Genomic DNA, 25,683 nt, shown 5'->3' on the forward strand with positions numbered 1-25,683 from the left:
TACATTAGACCCTTCTGCTTACTTGCTGGTACCTCCATTGTGATACACTGATTTGCTTCCGTCTATCTACAATCTCATCCTGTCCTGTGATATTGAATCTAAGGATATATTTGCTAAAAACCATTATGTTTTACCCTACCTTAGGACTGCCTACATTTACACTGCCTTTATGAGCAACTCAGATACTAATCCTCCACTGAGAAATCACCAAATAGAGAAGTTCACTAATGCTCTGACCACTCTCCTTCTTAGCAATAGTGATATTGGAGGAAGTTTTATGAAGCTTGGGAATCTGCTGAGATGTGTAGGAGCTCTGTCCCATCTAATCCAGCTGGCCAGCTGTACAGCTGTAAATGTTAACCAGTTACATCTTCCAGCTCAATCTGTTGGCAACTAGGAGGATGACTTTTAGGAGAGAAGGAGGGAGGAGTCTCCTCTCAGGTTTCTGACTTGAATGATGAATGGATGGTAAGGACAGCCAAATGTAATAGGGAATAAAGAGAGGGAAGACTATGAGTTTAATTATGAGTATACTGAGTTAGGATGTCCTGAAAGGGCTTCCAAATCAATATATATAGTAAGCATTTAGATTAAAGAATCTAAAACTCAGAGAATATATTAAATTTGACAGTTCTTAAACCACAAGAATGTATGAAATTGCCATGGATATAGCGTTAGAAGTTCATTAAGAACAGAACTCTAGAATATAAATGAAGAAGGAAGCAGACCCATGAAGAGAAGACAGAAAAATAATGATCTGAGAGTAAGAAACGCCAGAGAAGCCCTCCCATCCCCGCAAAAAGCAAAAATAAAACATAGAGGAAAACAAAGAAAATTGAAAAGTTGTACCAATAGTGTCAAATATTACAGAGTAAGATAACTGACTGCCGTTTGAATTTGATCATTAAGCAGTTGTATAATCTCACTGAGAACAATTTCATTGGAACAGGAGGAGGAAAAGCCTCATTGCAGTGTCTTGGGGTTTAAAAGCAAGATGAGAAACTGGAAACATCATGTGTAGGAATTCTCTTAAGATTAAAAGAAAAAAGATAAGATGATAGTTAAATCCTTGTAAAGTCTAGGATCCAGGCCTCCCTCCTAATCCCTTAATGCCTGACCAGTCTCCCAAGAGTGGAACTTAAATAGCCAGAACAAGAAACTAGGACTTTCTTGGAAACATGGGCCATGGCAGGTTCAGGAGATAGTAGCTTTTCTGCCACTTCACATGGGCAATGATATTTATATGCACATCTTCCTCCTATAAGGGTATCCCAGATCATGTGTGCTGCAAACTCCAACTCTTTCTGTTTCCCACTCAAAAACCTGTCTGTAGTATATTTTACAAATGTGTGTATATATATAAACACACACACATATACAGACAAAGTTTGTTTAATAACAGAGTACCTCTGGCCTCCTCTTCACAGTTAATCAGGGGGCGTCAGTGTATTTTGAGACCATGGTTGATCATTTGAACTGAGTAGTAGTTGAGTAAAGTTGCTAATCCATCTAGAGCCTTATCTGAGTGGATCCAGGGTTTCCTATTGGTGCTGGGTGTAGCCTGGCTAGGAATTTGTGACCATTAGGTATTTACTGTCCTTAAACATTAGCTTTCACTTGCAGCTTTTTACTACCAGTAATATTTTGGAAGCCTTAACATAAGATTTTCTCAGCATCAGGGTTGTCGTCAATGAATTTCAGAAAACTCTTCAGACCAGAAGGCAGAAAAGCTGTTTGCTAATCCACGTCTCTGACTTTGCCATCACCCTTGTGTTCTCATAATTCACTTAATGCCAAGCAAGTATATGCACAGATGGAGGTTCATGTCTCTGTCTGCTTTCTCTACAGAAGGCAGCTGCCATGTTCCTTCAAAGCTCAGTTTTTCTTACAGTGAAATCCTATTGTCATAAAATAATCATGATCCACTCCTACTAATGGGTCCCTCTGTGAGGCCTAAATGGCAGAATTCATTCATTTTTCTAGGCCTTGGATTTTTGTCTCTTTAGACATGCTTTTCATGTTTGTTAAACTCAACATATCCAAAACTGCTGTAAGCAACTCTTTCTCACCTTTTTCCCCATTTAGGTTAGTTGTACTACCATCTTCTCAGATGCCCAAGCCAGAAGCCTGGGAATCATACTTGATTCCTCCCTGTTTAACCCTCACCAAGCCAATCACTCTGGCTCTTAAATGTCACAAATAATAATTCACTACTTTCCATCCCAATTACCACCGCTCTACTCAAGGCAGCTTTCATCTTTCACCCAGATTATCCTGACAACTTTCTAACTGGTTTTATTGCCTCCAATCTTACTTCTCTTTTATTCTCCAGACTGGAAATATTTTTCAAAATTGCAAACGGATTATTTCATCTCCCTGGTTAAAATTCTTTAGTAATTGTCCTTAGGAGAAAGTCCAAACTCTTTAACATGGATCTTATAAGGTGCTTCGTAAGCTGCCTCATCTTTGTGCTACTTTTTCACTTCATTCTCTGCCTCGGCCATACCACTCCCTCAGTTCTTTATGCTACCATATTCATCCTCAGTTTGAAACTTTTTACTGGTAATGCTTTGACATTTGCAGTTTCTGTATTTTGACCAGGTAACTCCTACTATTCTTTATAATACAACTTAAATATTACTTGTTTAGGGAAACTTTCTCTGTAACCCTAACCTAGATTAGTTGCCCTTGCTGTGTGCTCCTATAGCATCTTTTATTTTTCCTATGATAGCAGTTAGTACCTTTTAATTTTAATTAATTGTTCAATCTTTAGAGTATAAACTCTGTGAGTGAAGTTACTCTGCTGTCTTGCTGGTGATCTTTCAAAGATGGAATGGACTTTCTTGGGAACTTATGTTTCTCAGCACCCATAGTGTTCATGTATAGGTTGAATAGCCCCAGGTTGGGAATGGAAAGCCTTTAAGTCCTTTCCAATCATATTGTTTGTTCCACATATTCAAGTTACATGCATATGTCTACTTGAAAAGTCTCTATAAGTCATTGTAAAAGAATTTCACCTAATCGAACACGTCGAATAGTCAATGACTAATGGCATAGAGAGAACCAAAGAGAGATTTTTAATTTAGAGCCCTGTATGTGCAATTTTTGAAATTCATGTTGTATTTTATATCTCTCATAGGTGAAATGAACCAGAAATACAAGGAGCTAAAGAAAAGGGAGGAACATATGGACAGTAAGTGATATTCTTGTAGATATAAAAATATAATATTTTCAGATTGCTGTTCATTTATACCAAATCAGAGACCTCATTTTGGGCAGATATAATGGCTAATAAATGCAGAAGTGTGGACATTCAAAGCATTTTGCCTTGAAGAATAGTTTCTAGCATAATTTAGAGATGGGTAGAAAATTCTAAAAAGATATGTGATGAGTGTCTATACGTTGGGGCTAGATTCTAAAGCTAGTACTTACATTCGTAGTCTGTACAGAGGAAACCTATAGACCAGGGGTCCCCAATCCCCAGGCTGCAGACCGGTAGGAACCAGGCCGCACACCAGGAGGTGAGCCACTGGCAAGCGAGCATTACCGTCTGAGCTCTGCCTCCTGTTAGATCAGCAGCAGCATTAGATTCTCATATGAGTGTGAACCCTATCGCGTATGAGGGATCTAGGTTGTACTCTTGTTATGAGAATCTAACCCCTGATGATCTCAGGTAGAACAGTTTCATCCCAAAACCATCACCCGCATCTGCCCCCAGCCCTGGTCCATAGAAAAATTGTCTTCCATGGTCCCTGGTGCCAAAATGGTTGGGGACTGCTGCTATAGATCATTTATTGATTGAATGTTCTCTTTTACATGCTTCACTATATTCACCTTTAGTATCTTTCACTTTTATATTTAGCTTTCCATAATACTTATCTCATTGTTTATTAGCCCTCACATCAGATATTGTCACTTTTTTCTATCACCAGCTATAATTTTAGTTGCCTTTTGTTAGTTTTGATTCACTTAAAAAAAATCTCAGCCTGATTTTATAAATTGGTTTTCACTTAAACCTATACATTTATAATTTTTTTAAAAAATTGGCATGTATTCTCAATTACTGGTTTCCTTTTAAGTTATCATTTTGCTGGAATCTGAATTCTAGCGAAGTGCTAGAATTTCATCTAGGTCTGATGTCAATAGTTACCTTCATGGAGGCATGCAATAAAAGAGTAATTGTCACCTCTTATTTTACAATGTACCAAGTTTTCTTTAAAATGTCAGTAAATACCAAAAATTATCTCAAAAATATTTTTTTAAGTCTTTTGGTAAAGGAGAAAGGTGTAAAATCAAGGAACAATGTGTCATGACACCACAGTATTGGAAATTACTAGATACTACCTAGTGTGGTATCTGGCACTTAGGTGTCAATAAGTGTTCATTTAATGAATGTTTACTGAATGAATGGAAAGAATTCCTATACTACAGAATCTTAAAATAGAAGGTCACCTAGCTCAGATTTCTTTCCACATATTAATTATGGTTTGTTTTCCTTAAAAAATAACCCCTGAAAGACAATGTTCATTTATGCCTTTGTATATGTAAAAATCTCATATGTCCACTTAATGTGTGATCAACAGATTATAGAAGCAGGATATTCACACATAAGACCTGTGTGAATGCTGAAGCAGGACATTAAAGAAAATTCAGTTTTATAAAAAATGTTGATTGTGGTCCTCTACCACCATATTCAAATAAAAAATGTTTTGTTGAAGACTGTTTTACTTTAAAAAATATGCTAAATATAAGAAAAAAGTATAATGGGAATCCATTACAGAAGGCAAGCTATTGATGTTATTCATGCTAACAGTAAAATTATTTTTGACTGAAAGTTTCTATTTTTTAGATGCTCCATAGAAATACTCGAAAATGTAAATAAGAGCTGTTTCTATATTAAACAAGTAAAAAGATAATTTCCTAGAATATTTATTTACAATCTGAATACATTATTAAATTCATTTAGTTGAAATGAATCCAGCATTGTAAATAAAATACTTATTTTCAGATAAAATGGGTATTCAGCATTGGAAATTATAGAAATAAAGTTAGTAGTCAGGGTGTTAATAATTATTGATGTATCAAAGGAGATCTTTATAAAAGCAAATTTCTTCTGATTGTCATTTTATCAGCTATTTCTTTTGAGCTTATATTTATAACTTTCTGATTTACTTATATCAAGGTCACAGGATTTAGGCAGTTTGAAAGTATATAAAGTTCTTATTGAATAATAATTACCTTTGGGTTAATAACAAATTAAACAGTGGCAGCTTAAAATTTCTAAAAATTGGGCCAGGTGCCGTGGCTCAAGCTTATAATCCCAGCACTTTGGGAGGCCGAGGCGGGTGGATCACGTGGTTAAGAGATCGAGACCATCCTGGCCAACATGGTGAAACCCTGTCTCTGGTAAAAATACAAAAATTAGCTGGGCGTGATGGTGCATGCCTGTAGTCCCAGCTACTCAGGAGGCTGAGGCAGGAGAATCCCTTGAACCCAGAGGTGGAGGTTGCAGTGAGCCGAGATCGTGCCACTGCACTCCAGCCTGGCAACAGAGTGAGACTCTGTCTCAAAAAAAGAAAATTCTAAAAAGCACTCTTAAGAACTGCAAATCAGAGTTTATATAGTGTTAACTCTATCAGCAGTAATCTCTCTTATGTTTTCCAATTGTCAGCTTTTATTGAGACTTTTGAGGAAACAAAGAATCAGGAACTGAAACGAAAGGCACAGATAGAAGCCAACATTGTTGCACTCTTGGAGCACTGCAGTCGAGTGAGTACCATGTGCCTGTCTTGGTGTCCTCTTTATTTTTGCCGTGATTAACTTTCCAAATACAACTCAAAAAATAGAACGGCTCACTATTGTATCTTCTCATTTAACTGCTTCCTTTCAATTCCCTTACTTGTTACTATTTATTTCAGCTATTAACTTTTTTATCACTCTAGCAAAATGTCAGGTAATTAGGGCAATAGAGAAAAAGGATGACATGTATAATATCAATATTCAGCAGTAAATGAAGCACTAATTCAGAGTAATTATTATGATCTTCTTCCATTGTTAATCTATCTGAACTTTTGAAAGTAACATTTGCACAGATAATTTCAAAATCTAGACATGTTAGAAAATGTTAATGTATTTTTATACTGTAAATTTATTGTAAATAAAAAGATTCTTGTATGTATATGTAATGAGTATCTCAAATTATCAAAAAATGTTTATTGGGCATCTATTATGAAATGCATGCCCCCCTTTCAATATTCTAGTGTTTTAAGACTCCAACCAGTTTCTAAAATAGTGTAGTTGAATTTTTTCTGCAGTGAAATAAAGGAAATGAAAAAAAACCCACAATTTTGAATTTATAGTCTGTCTTTATTGAGAAAACCCAATTTGGAATCTCATTTTCTATACAATATATAACTTGAATGGTGTATTTCAAAAAAAATACCTGATCCAAACATCTCATCCTTTGACAGTGTTTTCCAAGAGTTTTATTGAGAACTAACTAAATCAGTGGATTTTTTTCTATTTTTATTTCTCTGCAAATGCAGAATATAAATCGTATAGAACAGATATCCTCTATCACCAATCAAGAGCTAAAGATGATGCAGGATGACCTCAATTTTAAATCTACTGAAGTGCAGAAATCACAAAGTACAGCTCAGAATTTGACTTCAGGTGAGAAAACAACCTAGATTTTAATATTCTTTTTTTTTAAAATATATCAATGTTATTCTCTGATTATTTTAAAGCCTCATTGACAGAGGCTATAATTTATGATTGCCTATTGCCCCAGAATTATGTGTGGCTTTTTTCATCAGCTGGCTAGTATTATGTTGTATATTGTCACTGATTTAACAACATTTATTGAATACTTATTTCAAGCCTGTGCTATATAATTCTGGATATTGTTAAAGATAAACAAAGCTGGATGCATGTTAAAGTGCTAAGGATAGATTTTAGTCAGTAATACAGCGTGGCAGTAAGGCAGGAGGGTCCAGCATGAATTGAAATCAACTTTGATTTGTACAGAGGTGATTGAGTGTTTTAAAGGGAGAATGAGGGAGTAGTAAGGGAAATGAAAAATTACAGGGTTCATCAATGTACATGCTGGTTAGGCCAGCTGTGTCTGTTAGCTGGCAATTATCAAGTTAGGAGTCTATGTTTATACACAGACTAGCAGACAGAGGCCCTAACTTTCCTGATAATCACGTTTTAATGGAATGGCTTTTAGGTCCTTGAGGAAAATACTCCTGAGTTGTGGGAGGTACATACAGATATGGTTTGGATTTTTTGTCCCCTCCAAATTTTATGTTGAAATGTGACCTCTAGTGTGGGAGGTGGGCCTAGTGGGAAATGTTTGGGTCATGGGGGCGGATCTCTCGTGAATGGCTCAGTGTCATCCTTGCAGTAATTAGTATGTTCTCTGTGAGTTCACGCAAGATCTGGTTGTTTAAAAGAGCCTGGTACCTCCTCCTTCTCTCTCTTGCCTTGTAACATGCAGGCTCCCCTTTGCCTTCTGTCATGATTGTAAGCTTCCTGAGGCCCTCACCAGAAGCAGTTGCTGGCACCATGTTTCATGTACAGCCTGTAGAACCATTAGCCAAATAAACTTATTTTTTAAAAATAAATTACCCAGTCTCAGGTATGCCTTTATAGCAATGCAAATAGACTAGTACACATATACATCTTAAAGGTACAGAGGAAAGATTCACAACTGGATACCCTAAGAAAGGGTAGTCAGGGGCCTGTTGACCAGTACGGGCTAGAATAAATAGTACATTCTTTCGGCGGCCTTGAGCTTTGTCTGGCAGGCACTTTAAGTGGGGATAGGGTCATCCCAGGGATGCAGACTTGAGCTGTTAGAAACTGTTTGTTTAAATCTTCTAATGTGGGTAGAAGGTGGTGCATGAAATCATTTGTGCTGAGAGTGGAATTTTTATAGGCAGAGGTTGAGGCCTAGTTGAGAAGAGAGCTCAGAGGAGCCTAGCTAGTTTGGTCAAGGATTGAATCTTTGTCAGTATAAGAGGCTTAAAAAAATCTAATCTGTTTCCTCAAGAAACTTTCAACTTGGTGGAGTGACAGTTATGATACAATGAAATAATGCTATGATAGAAGTAAGCATAAGGAGCAACGGAAGTACATAGGGCACATATCCAGCCTAGTCTTGGATAGTTAAGAAGAGATGATGTTTCACTTTAATTAGTTTCAGTCATGCTTGCTATCATGAGACTAGAGCAGCACTGTCCAAGAGAAATTTAATGACAGTATATATTATATTTATATAAAGTTTTCGAGTAGCCATGTTGACAAAGTAAAAAGAGACAGATTAATTTTAATAATATATTGTATTTAAACTGATATAGCCAAGTTATTATTTCAACATGTAAGCTATATAAAAATGATCAAAGAGATATTTTATCTTCACGACATTTCAATTAGGACTAGCCTTATTTATTTATTTATTTATTTATTTATGAGACAGGGTCTCACTCTCATTGCCCAGGCTGGAGTGCAGTGGCGTGATCACAGCTCACTGCAGCATTTACTTCCTGGGCTCAGGTGATTCTCTCACCTCAGCCTCCCAACTAGCTGGGACTACAGGCACACACCAGCACGCCTAGCTAATATTTCGTATTTTTAATAGAGATGGGGTTTCACCATGTTTTCCAGGCTTGTCTCAAACTCCTGGGCTAAAGCCATCTGCCCACCTCGGCCTCCCAAAGTGTTGGGAATACAGGCGTAAGCCACTGCACCTGGCCTGGACTAGACATACTTAAAAGGGCTCAAAAATCACATGTGGCTAATGGCTGCCATTGGGATGGTGCAGGTGGAGATTAGATACAAATAAACAAAGTTGAGGTTAAAGAGACTAGGATAAGGTCATGTAAAAATTTGTATGGGATCTTTGGTTTATGAACTAATGGCTTCTGTGGGTGTTCTTTATGCTGGTGTGTTGCAGCTTTGAATTAGCTATGTTTTTGTCTACCTGGAATTACTACAGTTAGTGAGATAGTGAGAAATGAAGACCTAATTAATATTTGCTAACTTAAGAATGTTGAAAGATTTTTGGGTGGGAATTGAACAATGAGAACACTTGGACACAGGAAGGGGGACATCACACACCGGGGCCTGTTTTGGGGTGGGGGGAGGGAGGAGGGATAGCATTAGGAGGTATACCTAATGTAAATGACGAGTTAATGGGTGCAGCACACCAGCATGGCACATGTATACATATGTAACAAACCTGCACGTTGTGCACATGTACCCTAGAACTTAAAGTATAATAATATATATATATAAAAGATTTTTGAAATGAAATAATGATCCATAATACCTTTATCTGGATTCCCAAAATCTAAAAAGATATTGGCAGCAAAACCTGACCTGACCTGAACTGACGTGAGGCTATTTATAGTTTTTAATTATCCTACCTAGTGTGACTATTTATGCTTTTTGCTATAGAAATATTCGTGTACTTGATGACAAGGTATTCCCTCAGACTTTGCCATGGGAGTTATGTAATCATAAGTATATGTGCTGTATTACTTTTCTAAAATCCAAAGAATTCTGCATTCTGAAATAGAACTGCCCAAGGGTTTTAGATAAGGGATTATGGACCTATAAATGCATACTGAATGCTATTAATTGCATTAGTAGTGGTGATATAGGTATATAATTGCTATATTTAAGCCTATTTTATATCCAGATTTGTTGAGAGTTTGTTTGCCGTAGTTTTTTTTTGTATGTCTATATGCCAAGTAACTGGAGGAGTTACATTCTTGATATATAACTACTGTTGGTTTGACTGTGAGTATATTTTTATTGTGGTAAAAAAACACATAACAAAATTTATCATCTTAACCATTTTGAAGTATACAGTACAGTAGTGTTAACTATATGCACATTGTTGTGCCACGAATCTCTAGAACTTTTTCATCTTGCAGAACAAAAACACTTTACCTCCTGAATAACAACTCCATATTTCCCTATCCCCTGACCCCTGGAGACCACCGTTCTACTTCTGTTTCTATGAGTCTGACTACTTTAAATTACCTCATATAAATGAAGTCATACAGTATTTGTCCTTTTGGGACTGACTTAGTTCACTTAGCGTAATGTCCTTAAGGTTCATCCATGTTGTAGCAAAGAAGGATTTTCTTTTTTAAGGTTGAAACATTCTATTGCATGTATATATCATATTTTAAAGTCTATCTGTAGACAGACAGATTGCTTCCACCTTTTAGCTATTGTGAATAATGCTGCAGTGAACATGGGTGTGTAAGTATTTCTTCAGGATCCTATTTTCATTTCTTTTGGACATATATGAATATTTAAGAATATTTTCTCTTTTCTATAAACTAAATAATTTTATAGTTTTATTTCATTTAGAAAACCTCTGTTTCGTATTTTAGACCTTCATGCCTAAGTTTTTCATTTATCTAAAGTCAATGTAAATTCAACAAGTTTTTCCCCCTTTAAGCTATCTTTCTGTAACAGCTGTCAAGAAATGTACATTTTTTAAAAGGCAAAAATCAATACCAGGAAACAAATTCAATAATCAAGACTTTGTATTCATTCCGTACTTTATACTTTGTGTTTATAATTCCTTTTAACAACTAGTCATTATGGGCCAGGGGAGGTGGCTCACGCCTGTAATCCCACCACTTTGGGAGGCCAAGGCGGGCGGATCATCTGAGGTCACGAGTTCAAGAGCTGCCTGACCAACATGGTAAAACCCCATCTCTACTAAAAATACAAAATTAGCCTGTGTGGTGGTGCAAGCCTGTAATCCTAGCTACTCAGGAGGCTGAGGCCGAAGAATCACTTGGACCCGGGAGGTGGAGGTTGCAGTGAGCCGAGATCGCGCCATTGCACTCCAGCCTGGGCAACAGAGTGAAAATCTATCTCAAAAAAAAAAAAAAAAAAAAAAAGTAGTCATTATGTGTTCTCCTGAGATGTACAGTTTGAAAAAAAATTGAAAACTGGCTTCAATGGAGATAAAAATCCAGTTTAATAGTATGATAAGGATTTTGCTGGAAATTTTTCTTTGTAAGGGTTAAATTCTTTGATGCTTATAATTAATTTCATTTACTACATTGTTTTCATTTTAACTTCAACCAACCATATAATTTATTCTTTCTTTCCTTCCCTAACACCATCCCCCACCTCAAGAAATTTTTTTGTATCTTCAAAACACCATGAGAGGTTTATAATATTCTTGTTCGCCTTTCAGATAGAATGGATTTAGTGTACTCCATGTTGTTGTTGTTGTTGTTGTTGTTTGAGACGGAGTCTCACTGTCGCCCAGGCTGGAGTGCAGTGGCGCGATTTTGGCTCACTGCAGGCTCCGCCCCCAGGGGTTCACGCCATTCTCCTGCCTCAGCCTCCCGAGTAGCTGGGACTACAGGCACCCACCACCTCGCCCGGCTAATTTTTTGTATTTTTAGTAGAGACGGGGTTTCACCGTGTTAGCCAGGATGGCCTCGATCTCCTGACCTCGTGATCCGCCCGCCTCGGCCTCCCAAAATGCTGGGATTACAGGCGTGAGCACCGCGCCTGGCCTTTTTTTTTTTTTTTTTTTTTTTTTTAATGGAGCAATCACTTCTTGGGGGAAGGGTGAAGAAAACTTAGATATTATAATGGCCCTCCAGAGGTCACCATACCTAAATGGCTACACACCACATGGGTGATGTAAAAATTTCAGGGGAGGGAGGTGATTGGGGAAAAAGAGTCTGTAATCGACTTCTTAGGGAATCAATAATGTAAGAAAAAGGTTGAGAAACACTGGTGTACTGCATGGGCAAAGAGGCAAGGGATTTATGAGCAATATTTTTTATTTATATTTTTGGAAAGGAAACTCCAGAGAGTAAACAAATGTGCTGATGACAGACTATCTTAGAAACACTTCCCCGGGTCAAAGTGGTTCCTTCTGAGATTTTGCTCCTATGTACACACTGCTTGGTAAACTTTGCAACTTCACGGCATATCAGAAGGAACTAGACTGCATCCTCTTCCTGTCTCTTCCCTTGGAGTAGCATTTAGCTTTTCATTGCGGACCTGTTGTTAAAGGAAGATAAACTTTACCCTATACCAGCCATTTTCTCCTTTTATCAAGAAAAATCAATTTGTATGGTTCTTAAATGTATTTCCCTAGTATATATTCAAATTAAACTTGCAGTTAGATTTATATCAGTGTTTACTCCAAATAGTCAAAATATCTACAGGCTAAAAACAGTTCCTATTTCGAGCATTAAAATAGCATAAGCCTTAGTCACTTGTTCAGCTCTTTGATTCTCATAACTATTTCTAACCGTGGTAGAGATAAGAATCCAACAAAACAAAACTCTTTGCAACAACATTTAAGTTTTGCTATATACATATTTGTATTTACGTGTACATACACATATATATTTTTAAATAGTGTATGTCGCTGTGGTTGACTTTTAAAACTCTTAAAGGGATAAAAGGAAACATTCAAGAAATACTGGCTTAATTATACTAACTTTAAAAATTTTGGTTGGATAACAGCCTGTTTTCTCAAATCAGTGACTTTCGAAGCATTGTTTTTTACTCTTCAAATTCATTCATATTCATTTACTATTCAGTATGCTGAACTTGTTACTGGCTCAAAGGTACTAGACTTTCTTACCTCTAGACTTTGCACATGCTGATTGTTTTTGCTGGAACACTTTTACCTTCCTCTTTGTGTGATATTCATAAACCTTAAGCCTTTAATTGAAAGGCATATCTTTAGAGAGCTCTCTTCATCCCTGCTACATGCTTTTATGGCACCCTGTGCTACTCTTTTCATATTTATCCAGTTTATTGTAAATACTTATTTAATTGCCTGCTTCTACCTCTAAAATACAGCTCCCTGAGTGAAAACCATGTCTCTGTTGATTGCTATTATATCCTCAGCACCTGGCACATAGTAGATGCTTGATATTTTTGAATGGAAGAATGAGACACACACAGGTATCCTCATTATTCATATATTTCATATTGTGAATTTGCCCTCTCACTAAAGTTACTTTGTACCCCCCAAATCAATCCTTGCAGCATTTTCATGATCATTTGTGGGCATGTGCAGACTCGTGAAAAATTTCAACAGCCTGACATGCACATTGCCAACAGAAGTTGAAAAAGGCAACACTCTGCCTTCTTATGTCAGTTCTCATACTATAAAGAGGTTTCCTTTTTGCAGTATATTTAGTGGCATGTTTTTTGCATTTTTGTGCTTTCTGTTGGTGATCATGCCATTTAAAATGGCCCCAAGCAAAGTGCTGATGTGCTAAGTGTTCCTAAGGCACATCATAGCCTTATGGAGAAAATGTGTGATAGGTAAACTTAATTCAGGCATAAGTTACAGTGCTGTTGGCTGTGAGTTCAATGTTAGTGAATCTACAACCTATAGTAAATAAAATGTCTTTAAACAAACATAAAGCAAGATTATGTATTGGCTAATTGACTAAAATGTGACTAAAGGCTCACAGGAACTTAACTCTGTATTTCCTTTGGGAGCAATAGTTCAATATTTGCTAACTCATTGTTCACAATAACTTCATAGGACATAACTACCACAGATAGTAAGAGTTGATTATGTGTGCAATTATAAAATTGTGCTCAAATATATATATAATGTTTTATAACTTGGTTTTTTCCCTACATAACTGTGTCATGCTTCTGTTAAAAATAATGTGTCTTTATCTCATAATATAGATTATATTACTAAGCAAGAAAAAAACTTAAATGTTTGTTAGCATGGAGACAGCTGTGGCTAATAGACATCAGGTTACCTTGATTCCCTAATATATTGGTTACCTGAAATTGGTTATTGAGGGGATGAGTATTTTTTTTTCTTAGTTTATATTATCTCACTGGTTACAGTGAACATATATTTCTTTTACAGATATTCTTAAAAAACATGATTTTTAATAGTTGCATTACATTTCCTTATGTGAAAGGAATAAAATTTTGATTAATTATCACCTTAAATTCTTATGTTTCAGACATTCAACGTCTGCAGTTGGATCTGCAGAAAATGGAGCTTCTAGAAAGTAAGATGACTGAAGAACAGCATTCTCTAAAAAGCAAAATTAAGCAAATGACAACTGATCTGGAGATATATAATGATTTGCCAGCTTTAAAATCATCAGGTGAAGAAAAGATAAAGGTAAATGTTAACCAAGTCTTACAGAATTACAATTCAGATTGTTTTTTTCTTGATCAAATGTAATATATTTGTGGTTTATAGGATTTATTATTTTAAGTTGATTATTTTATATATATAAGTGAGAAAAAATAAAAATGTTTACATATGTAGTTGGAATTTAGAGTGACTTAAAGTTTTAAAGAAAAGCAAAAATTGAAAAGCAAGGTATAAGCTGCTACTTAATACAGAGCATTTCAGCAGATGTGAGCTTTGTTAAATGCAGTTTAGATTATGACTCTATCCTACCTGAAACTTGTCAGTGGCTTTCCATTGCCATTTACATTAATTTAGACTTAATTTGGTAGGGTCGGGAGAGATATGGCAGCATTAATAGAGTTATTAATACAGATAATGTTAACATAGCTTATAGTTCAAAGGATATTTTTACAAACGGGTTTTAGAGTAGTTATAGCCTTGATATAATTTTACCAGAATATAGTTATTGAAATTAAGTTAAATATGATTTATATTGGCTTACTACATATTTTCTATAACCTGTCACTTCTATTTGGATCTTTCTAGAAATTACATCAGGAGAGAATGATATTATCAACCCACAGAAATGCCTTTAAGAAAATAATGGAGAAGCAAAACATAGAGTATGAGGCACTAAAAACACAATTGCAAGAAAATGAGACACATTCTCAGGTAAAAAATGTTTTAAATGACTTTGAAATTGTCTTAGTCTATATTTTCACCCCAAAACAATCAATTTTTTATTTTAAAATTTGCTTTATATACCTTCTAGATTTTCTGACTTTTAAGACAGCCAGATTCTGTACAGTCTTCATTCAGAATGAATGGACTCCTGCTTTCTTACCTTCCATAAACCTATATTGAAAGCCAACTCTGTTAGATACTGTCTTGGGCACAACTGTTAAGATATATGGGGTAGTATATTTTAAAAATTTTGGAAGTGAAACATTACTAATACAGAAACTAAAAATCCATAAAATCACAAATAAAATAAATTCTAATGATTAGTACCCCACCACCCAGAAGAGAGAATGCTTATTGTTGCTTTAGTGTGGGTTCTTTTAGTCAATGGATAGATAGATAGATAGATAGATAGATAGATAGATAGATAGATAGATATGTGTATACACATATTTATGCATATACTTAGGTACACATTTATTTCTATGCATTTATAGAAATTGTGCCATATTGTACATATCATTTAGGAGCTTGTTTTTCATGATTAACTATACATCATAAGTACTTTCCCTTGTCAATATATATATTGACTTTTAAAAAATATTAATAGCTTAATGATATTCTAGTGCATGGATGTCGCATAATATATTGAACCAATTCCCTTTCGTTGGATATTTAGGTAATTTCTAGTTTTAAAACCATTGAAATAATGCTATAAAGAGCAATCCAGGTATCCTTGAACTTCTTAATTCATATCTCCAATTATTTACATAGGATGCGTAGATATATATACCTGCAGCCCCCTTTTCATATCACTCATCTTGCTGATAATTACTTGAACAGTGTGTGAGGTCTAGATTGAGAGCTCTGACGGGACAGAGACAATGTCTGTCTCGTTTACTTTATTCCTTGCCCTGTGGTATTGGTTGGCACATAGTAGGTACTCAGCAATTATTTGTTGAATGATTGAATGAAGCATTATGTGTCATGTACAAAGTCAATAACTACGGTCTGAAAAAAATTGATCATTCTTATATCTAATTAGTCTATATTAGAAATTTGCACACATGGTTTAAAACCCTAAATGCATTAAAAATTCCCTCTTTTGGCCAGGCACGGTGGTTCACGCCTGTAATCCCAGCACTTTGGGAGGCTGAGGTGGGCGGATCACGAGGTCAGGAGATCAAGACCATCCTGGCTAACAACGGTGAAACCCCGTCTCTACTAAAAATACAAAAAATTAGCCAGGAGTGGTGGCGGGTGCCTGTAGTCCCAGCTACTCGGGAGGCTGAGGCAGGAGAATGGCTTGAACCTGAGAGGCGGAGCTTGCAGTAAGCTGAGATCGCGCCACTGCACTCCAGCCTGGGTGACAGAGCGAGACTCTGTCTCAAAAAAAAAACAAAACTCTCTTTTTCTTCATATGGTTATGTGATCATGATAGAGCAAAATAAAAATGATGTCATTTGATTTTCCACTACATAGGTACAACCGTTGTTAACATTTTGGTGCCATATCCTTGTAGTATTTTCATCCTTTGCAATCATACATCCATATTGTTTTTACAAAAAATAAAACCATGCTATTCATACAGTCTTTCAACATTTTCTTAACTTTTTTCAGCCTTCTTTTTTTTTTTTTCAAACAGAGTCTCACTGTGTTGCCCAGGGTAGAGTGTAGTGACATAATTGTAGCTCACTGCAACCTGGAGCTCCTGGACTCAACCGATCCTCCTGCCTCAGCCACTGAGTAGCTAGGACTACAGGCACAGACCACCATGCTCAGCCAATTTTTATTATTTTTTATAGAGACAGGGTCTTGCTGTATTGCCCTGGCTAGTCTTGAACTCCTGGCCTCAAACTGTCCTCCTGCCTCAGCCTCCCAAAGTGCTGGGATCACAGGCATGAGCCACTGTGCTTAGCCTTTTTTTTCTTTTTGAGACGAAGTTTTGCTCTTGTCACCCAGGCTGGAGTGCAGTGGTGTGATCTTGGCTTACTGCAACCTCCACCTCCTGGGTTCAAGCAATTCTCCTGCCTCAGCCTCCCAAGTAGCTGGGATTGTAGGCGCCAGCCACCACGCCTGTCTAATTTTTTTGTGTTTTTAGTAGAGACAGGGTTTCACCTTGTTGGCCAGGCTGGTCTCGAACTCCTGACCTTAGGTCATCCACCTGCCTCGGCCTCCCAAAGTGCTGGGATTGCAGGTGTGAGCCACCACACTCGGCCTTTGGTGACATTTCTATAGCATTAGCTATTTCATTGTATGGATGTACCATTTGAAAACAACATACACCTTACATTCTTTTTGAAAAGGGTAGAATCTCATGAAAGCTTGCTACAACTACTAAAAGCTTAGAAATCACTAATTTACATAATTCAAATTTACCAGTTATTCTGTTCTACTTCATATGGAAACCTAGATATAGACTTATAATTGACACAATTTTCTTAGGTTGTTTAGAGTGAGGATGAGTGCTGGGGAAGAAACAAGACAAAGTTTGGGAGGTCATTGTCTTCAGCAATTCTTGGAAAAAAATACTGATACTTCTTATGGAATATTAGCCCTCCTCATTCACTGAATAGATGATTTAAGGTGGAAAGCACTTGAAAAACACCATTTCTTAGAGCCAGTGAGTGGTTAACTTGTTTATCCCCACATTAATTGCTAATTTTAACTCCATGTATTGATAACTGGAAATCATAACATAAGCCACAATTTCGAATCCTTCTCTGTGTTATTTGTCATCTTTTGTGAATCCCAACTGATTAAGTCAAATCCTGGTCTTCCTATCTTTCACAATTATCTTCTTGAAAACTGGCTTTTGGCATCTCTAAAGAATTTTATGTAACAGATTATTTAAACTAGTTAGGGAAAAACAGATTTTCAAAATGAATTTTTGCTTCATGATGTCCTTGGAGGTTTAAAGGAGTCAATAATATAGAGGTATAATGTAAAAGGAATTTGACCATCTGACACAGCATTGCTTTTATACCATTCCTGTAGCACTTAACAGGTCTGATGCATTATAAGAAGGCCACCTGTTTGTATGAAACAATGACAAAAAAGTCTGGTACTTGACTTTGCTGAAGGTTATTAGAAATTTACTGCCAGAAACTGCTGACTGCTTCCTTAAGTCCATCTTAACTTCAAGGTCCTGTCTGGGGGAGATTGATGTGATTAGTAATACCAGCTCACAGCACATACAGTTCACATAATTAATTAGCTATGATTCATTCTAATATCTAGATTTATCTCTTTGGAGGAAACAATGAGATGGATCTACATCAAGCCTGAATTTACGCCCTGAAAATTATTTTAACATGAGGATAGAAACATTTCCACTGTTGCTTCAATTATTGTATTTTTAAAAATAATCATTACTTCTTTGAAATGTCCAGGTGGAACATAATTTTAGCATTTCAATTTTCAAATGGTCCTTTGCTTTGGAAAAAACTATGTGCATCTTAAAAAAGAAAGACCATAACCAGAGTTACAAGGTTAATTAAATCAGAAAAACAATATAATTCTATAACAGTAAAATTGTCTTCTGAGGAAGCAACCATCAATATAATATCCACATTAGCTTCCTGTTGATGCAGAAATTATTGTAACAGTGCCAGCTTTTTACCAGCTCTCTTATAATCTTCACACTGCAGCTCTGCTCTTATCACAGCTTGTGGAATTACACAGGAAATTTAGCCCTGGAAATAAGGAAGTTTCTCCTATATGGCTGAACCTTTGACAGTGTTTGAATATGTATTATATTTGTGGCATTAGACTTCCAGATTTTAAGAAGAGATTCCCATCATGTCCCATTTTTCTTTTAAAAGTTTTTTTAGGGAAAGGAAAATCATAAATTGTCTTTCAGTTGGCATGTTCATTGGTATAATAAACATTTAAAATATAATTAAAATAAATATATAGAGTAAAACATGTTATAGGATTCATCACTGTATTAATATATTTACTATTATTTAATCTTTTTTTTTCTACCGTGGCTTTATCTCAATAAAATGTAAGTTGATAAGATTTAAAGTTGGAGAGATTTTTTTTGTCTTATCCTCTTAGAAAGGCATTTAATTGTTTTAAATATGGGTCCTAATTAATATTTTTCTTTTATGTTTTTAGCTTACAAATTTGGAGAGAAAGTGGCAACACCTTGAGCAAAATAATTTTGCGATGAAAGAATGTATCCTTTAAAAAGCTGAAAATGGGGCCGGGTGCGGTGGCTCATGCCTATAGTCCCAACACTTTGGGAGGCCGAGGCAGGTGGGCCACAAGGTCAGGAGATTGAGACCACCCTGGCTAACACGGTGAAACCCCATCTCTACTAAAAAATACAAAAAAAACATAGCCGGGCGTGGTGGCGGGTGCCTGCAATCCCACCTACTTGGGAGGCTGAGGCAGGAGAATGGCGTGAAACCGGGAGGTGGAGCTCTCAGTGAGCCGAGATGGCACCACTGCACTCCAGCCTGGGCGACAGAGCAAGACTCCATCTCAAAAAAAAAAAAAAAAAAAAAAAAAAAAAAGCTGAAAATGAAATTGACTGAGTTATTTTTTTCTAGGAATTTTTTTAAAGACTCAAATTTAGTTCAACACCTACTTATTAAATACCAGATATGTACAAAACCCTGGGCCAAATTAAATGAATATGACTGTTTCAATTCTACAGTAGTTAAGAGGTGTGTGTGTGTGTGTGTGTGTGTGCGCACGCACGTGCCCTCAAGTAACTAATAGAAAGCAGATTTTGGGAGTTGCCAAAAAAGGAGTACAAAGACTTAATGTGGCATAGTGATTAAGTGCCCAGATTTTGGAGTTGGGCGATCCAATTTTAAATGTCAACTCTACTGCTTGTAAGTTACAAACTGGACAATTTAATCTGTTCAAGCTAGAACTGTATCATCTCTTAAGATTCAGTTTTCCGGGATCACAGGGCTTGGGTAAAGTTAAACATTATCAGTAAATCTTCTGATAAACATGGCAAGAATTTCTCTTTTGTTTAGAGACAGGGGTCTCGCCAACTTAGCCAGGCTGGTCTCAAACTCCTAGGCTCAATCCCACCTCGGCCTGCTCAAGTGCTGGGATTAGAGACATGAGCCACTGCTCTCGGCCCCAGAATTGTATCATCTCTAAAATCTCTAAAATATAGTTAATATTACCTTCTCATAGTGTTGGGAGAATTATATATAACCATATAGTTATATATATCCACAAGTATATATATATATATATATGTACATAATATATAATATATAGTTGTTTGTTGTTTATATGGTTCTACCTTGAATATCTGGGCAGCAAAGGGAGGTAAACTAAGTAAGATCCTGAGAAGTTTGACTTCCAAGCTCATCCATGTTTTAGCCATTTCAACTCCATTATATGTCTACAAAGATGATACTTATGTCTCATCTTATTGTTTACTTTTAGTTTGATTACAGGAGGCAGCAAGCAGCTGTTGAGAACATGTGTTGTGAAGTTGTAACAGATATTTCCTTAAAAGTTGTTTCCTATTCCCTTCTTTGACCCATTCAAGGATGTCTCTGCCTGGAGAACTAGATCCTGACTCAGTGGCAGCATAGGTTCTCCCCCAGGGTGGTGCTGAACTTCAGCTCAGAAGCAGCCTGGACCCCATCTTACCTCCAGATAAGGTGTTTTAGGTACTCTGTTGCCAGTGTTAGTGCAACTTAGTTTAAAAATAGAGGACTTGTTCACAGTATGCTCTAAGTCTCACACTGGAGTTTTGTGCAACATAAAGTAGGTGATTTTGGAGCAGAGCGAAGTCTAGAAATTTGCCTTAAATTATTTGTGGTACTCTAGAGAACGTGGTATGTGTATGTGTGTATGTGTGTTTGAATATAGGAACTAGTTCATTGAACGTTAGATTGTTCTAAGACCAGAATTAGATTAAAAATGCATAACATATTAAGTATTAAAAAGTGTTTATATTGTATATGAATTTTTTGCGGTAAGTTTAGCTTGGCATTTTAGGTTTTAATTGATGCTTAATCTGTTAAAATGATGTACTGTATTTTAAAGTATTCTAATTGTGCTTTTTTGTACCATCTTCAGTATGAAAAATGTCAGTATTTAGTTCCTTTCTCAGGCACAATTAGATTTTTATTGACATTGTTTTCCCCCTTAACTCATGTAATTAGTCATAGCAACCAAGAGTCAAGAGAGTGATTACCAGCCAATTAAGAAAAATGTGACCAAGCAGATTGCAGAGTACAATAAAACCATCGTGGATGCTTTACATAGCACCAGCGGAAACTGAGTTTAAGTCCACTGAAAGTCTCTAAGGAAGTATCCTCTTGCTGCTAAACTTGGTACAAGTTGACTACCAAAAAAAAAAAAAGCTTACTTTTGGAGTTTACCTAAAATTTCTGAATGTTATAATTTTTGTGGCCTCTTTTAAGAATGATATTTTAAAATAGTAAATAGTTCAATAAATGGTTTGCATATTAAAAAGTACCATCTTCTTTTCTTTTTATGCTACTTGTATTTGAACCAAGAGATAAAGAAACTAAAAGTGACCGTTGAAATTTATTTAGCTGGTATAATCCATCTATGGCAACAAATGAGATAAGCTTTTCTTGTATCAACTCTAGGACGGATGCATGGAGTATGATTCTGATTTAGCACTTAGATCAACCTTGTCAATTTTTACTTCTAGAAAAAATTAGTAAGATTAGAAGGGAGATTTTTAGCTTTGAATGTTACTTCTCAAATAGGTTATATTTGATGTGTATTAGACCATATAATGTCACAGGTAAATATATAACATATATTCTTTATATAGCAGTTATACCTAAAGATTTGGAATTAGAAACTTTTAATCTTTGCAATTCTTAAAATATTTTTTCACATATATATACCTGGAAGAACATTAGGTAAAAGACTACATTTATAGTGGGCTGTTTTGGACTATGGCTACTGCTGTTCATTGCCACCCTGCAGTATGCATTTACTCTCTTGTACTATTAGGAGAACTTAAGTAGATTAATTTATAAACATTAGCCAGAATATTTGGGGAAAAAAGCTAGAAGAGGTAGGATTGGGAGAGAGGCATAGAGTCTGGAAGACATTATATTAACTGTAGATGTATCTTCTCTTATCGTGCAGGAATGAGTCACCTTGGCCAGCATAAAATATTACTTAAAACTATCCTGTTTTTGCTCTGATATCATGTTCACTAAGTAACTCTACTTTTCAGTATTTCTGAAACAACACATTGATTTCTTAAACCAAAATAGCTTTATTGAGATATTATTTACATACTTTAAAATTTACTCATATATGTTGATTTTTAAAAATAAATATTTATAATGGTAAATTATTCAAATTCAGTCTATATACATTTAAATAAAGGAGTGAGCATTGTTGAGTTTGCTGAACTCTGGATTACTAATATGGCTGAAGATCCTGGACATTCATTAAGGTAGCATTCATAAAATGTGTTCCATAAATCCTGAGCATCTTGAGTTATTAATAGTGTTATGCCTCCAAAGGATTCATGGTCAAAGAAGTTTGGGAAACGTTGTCTGAAACAAAGGTGAATTATTTTATTTTTTCTTGACTGCTCATAACCCTTAATATGCTAATGTATAATAAGCTCAAGAAGAATATATACTGTAAAGCATTTCCCAGAGATAGTTGTCCACAAAACCCTAACTTTCACAGAGCCTAGGTCACATGAGATGTGTCATTCCAAGAAATAGACTTTGTACACCAAATAGACTTCATACACTAAAATAATTTCATCTACTCAAGTCCTCTGGGTGGCTCTATGGCCTTTTTCAGATGACTCCTGAGTATGTCTCTTTTTAGCCACCCTCAGCTGTTTTATGCTGTGATTGTATGGGGTTTTCTATTGGAAATTGGTAGCAGAAAGTGCTTATAAAATTTCACAAGGGAAAAAAACTCTTTTAGCAGTTAAAGAGAATGAAATCTGAAATTCAGTAGATAAAACAGGTAATAGATTTTGATGACAGTTTGCAGCCCTTCGTTCATTCATAAAGTATTACTGTAATTTGGTGATTAGGAGCCTTTATGGATATACCCGACTGCTGAAAAACATTCATCTTTTATACAGTAACAAACAGAGGTATGATTGAGCATAGAGTTTAGGCAAGAGAACTGACTACTATGGTCTCTTAATCACATTGATTCTATTTCGTGGATACTTCCAAGGAGGAAGGGAATCTGGAAAACATGTTTGTGGATAGGTAATCTTTGTTTTCCTCATTTGAAAGCAAATTTAAATGCCTTTACTTTTTCCTTAGGTTTTTTTTTATGATTTCTACTTAAGTGTTCTTGACATTTTACTGCACCCTTTTAAATAACCAACTTAGTAATTTTTACTATTAGTAATAAGGGTTTTTTTCTGAGTGGTGGGATTATGGGTGATTGTAATCTTCCTTGGGCTTTTTGGTATTTTCAAAATTGTCTGTGATGTACATTTAATACTTAGAAATGCAATAAAATTCAAATAAAGTACTATATGCAGTTACTACTTTAACTGACAGAAAGGATGTAGTAAAAACTCTTAAGTCCTTGACTCTAGAACTGAACCAATCTTTACGCAGAAAGAAAGTAGGAGGAAGATTGGCCTGTCCATTAAATATATGTGTTTGCATTATAACAATGGGAAATTTGGCAGGAAAAAAATTTCTTGACAAAAAGCAAGGCTTTCAATTTCCATCCTAATTTATTCATATGTAATATTGGTGGGGGGCAAATAATTGAGCAGGATTTCTTTAAATTAAAACATGTTTTATCTGAGGGAAATTCTCACTAATGTCTCTCTTCCTTCCTCTGAGAGCCTTTCCACAAATCCAACAAGAATATTCTCTTTACTGGGATAGAACTGGAGGCTAATAGCTGCATGAACTGGCTCTTCCTGAGTCAGTCACATTACTCAGGGGGTTCCATTCATGCTAAAATAACACCTTGTAAGTCACATGGAAAGAAGCTGCAGACTGAACAAACATGCTGAGCAGTTTTACTAGTGAAGATCAACATGGGAAAGTTAGCAAGTCTTTGTTTTTCCCATCCTTATCTTTTATCAGTAAATAAACATGAGTTCTTGATATTCTTTTTCCTGTGGAGCCCCTCGTTTGGACAATACTATAGTCTCATTTTAAGGTACAAAATTCAGTGCCTGCTTAGAGGATTACAGCATGGAGTAATCATATTCACACCAGAGATGAAAGGCCAGTTAGTAGTAGTTCCAGGGGTTTTTGCTGTTCCCTTGCTCAGTTTCTCTAGACTTCTTTCCTTTTGCTATACAATTGCAGTGTAAACAACCTTAGGGAAATTATAATGTTTAGACTCAAAGTAAGAAGAAATAAAGATGGACCACTAGAGAATTGTAGTAATCTATTTTTAAATTGATATTGTGTCTCATTTTTGTATAACTTTTGAAATAAAAGTAGATTATGTCTTAAAATTGTAAGTTTACAGTTTGATAACTGAAAAACATTTTTAAAAAGGCAATTTTTAATACAAAGGTAGATAATTTAGGAAGACAGATAAATAAAATGAAGAAAGTAAGTTACTTGTGATCTCACCAGTCTTTTTAGATACGCATCTATATTTATGTCACACATATCTGTTTTATTTATGTATTTATGCACCTTTAATTAAATTAAAATTATATTGTTTTTAATTTTACATTTGCTATTTGTAATTTAGCACACATTTTTGTATGTCATTATATACTGTTGTACAACATGTTAAATTGTTGCATATTATTTCATTGTGCAAAACTTTCAAAAACAAATCCTACATTATCGAATGAGATTTATGATATAGAGGTTACATGTAAGCTTTAGATCAGATAGCTGGAAATGTGAATCCCAGCTTCACCACTGATTTGTTATATGACCTTGGAAAGCTGGTCTCACAATTTCAGTTTCTTCGTCTACAAATGGAATAATAATGCTTAACTCATAAGATTGGTTCAAAGAGTATGCAGAACCCAAGACGTGTGACACAAATCGTCCTGGGAAAGGTGTCATTATTAGCAGTATGCAAAACTGATTGTTTCCCTGCACTCTCACCAACACTGGTGTTAACCAGGCTGACAGTGCACTACCTCATTTGTTTTACTTAAAAAAAACTGCCGCATTACTGCAATTAGAAGCTATATTTTAATTTGCAAGATGTTTTCATATCAAAAATTACAAAGTCTGATTCTTAAAAATCTCTTTAAAAATATTCATTATAGCTTTGTCATATACATCGAAAGCAAATTTTTAGAATATATTAGATCATACTTTACTGCCTCAATATTTTTCCTCATAATGTATCGTAATGAATTGCTGCTCTGAAAACCTGACTGCATAACTTTAAGAGAAATAGGAATAACCTGTGTAAGAATAATCTACTCAGTAACCAAGGCTGTATTGTTTGTTCATTGTCTCTAGCCTCCTGCAAGTCAAGTGGTTGCACATAAAGAACAAGTATGTCGGCCGGGTGCAGTGGCTCACGCCTGTAATCCCAGCACTTTGGGAGGCCGAGGCGGGCAGATCACAAGGTCAGGAGATCGAGACCATCCTGACTAACACGGTGAAACCCCGTCTCTACTAAAAATACAAAAAATTAGCCGGGCGTGGTGGTGGGCGCTTGTAGTCCCAGCTACTCGGGAGGCTGAGGCAGGAGAATGGCGAGAACCCAGGAGGCGGAGCTTGCAGTGAGCTGCGATCATGCCACTGCACTCCAGCCTGGGTGACAGAGCGAGACTCCGTCTAAAAAAAAAAGTATGTCACAGGATGGAAAAGAAATACCCATTTATTTATTGGGGAGTCCAGTATACAAGAGGG

At 35.9% G+C, this 25,683-nt stretch overlaps 1 protein-coding gene across 4 annotated transcripts in view, besides 1 other annotated feature; it reads left to right on the forward strand.

Moving 5' to 3' along the window:
• IFT74 (intraflagellar transport 74) overlaps positions 1–24,532 on the forward strand; it is a 119,025-nt gene extending 94,493 nt beyond the window's left edge. For 3 of the 4 annotated variants that reach the window (NM_001099223.3, NM_001099222.3, NM_025103.4), the window contains exons 14-20: positions 3,140–3,193; positions 5,672–5,769; positions 6,546–6,672; positions 14,007–14,170; positions 14,732–14,857; positions 18,989–19,049; positions 21,016–24,532. In NM_001099223.3, the coding sequence (NP_001092693.1) occupies positions 3,140–3,193; positions 5,672–5,769; positions 6,546–6,672; positions 14,007–14,170; positions 14,732–14,857; positions 18,989–19,049; positions 21,016–21,134 (749 nt within the window). In that variant the 3' untranslated portion in view covers positions 21,135–24,532. Of the gene's footprint in view, positions 1–3,139; positions 3,194–5,671; positions 5,770–6,545; positions 6,673–14,006; positions 14,171–14,731; positions 14,858–18,988; positions 19,050–20,393 lie in introns of all 4 variants that reach the window. The other variant, NM_001349928.2, reaches the window with a different exon arrangement.
• Positions 23,649–23,943: a silencer, noted in NCBI's record as "tiled region #6395; HepG2 Repressive DNase unmatched - State 9:DNaseU". NCBI's record gives its function as "represses a minimal TATA promoter and a strong SV40 promoter by Sharpr-MPRA in HepG2 cells {active_cell/tissue: HepG2}" and the evidence as "EXISTENCE:reporter gene assay evidence [ECO:0000049][PMID:27701403]".

This window comes from Homo sapiens, chromosome 9, assembly GCF_000001405.40.
Source record: "Homo sapiens chromosome 9, GRCh38.p14 Primary Assembly".
In the NCBI taxonomy this organism is placed as follows: Eukaryota; Metazoa; Chordata; class Mammalia; order Primates; family Hominidae; genus Homo; species Homo sapiens.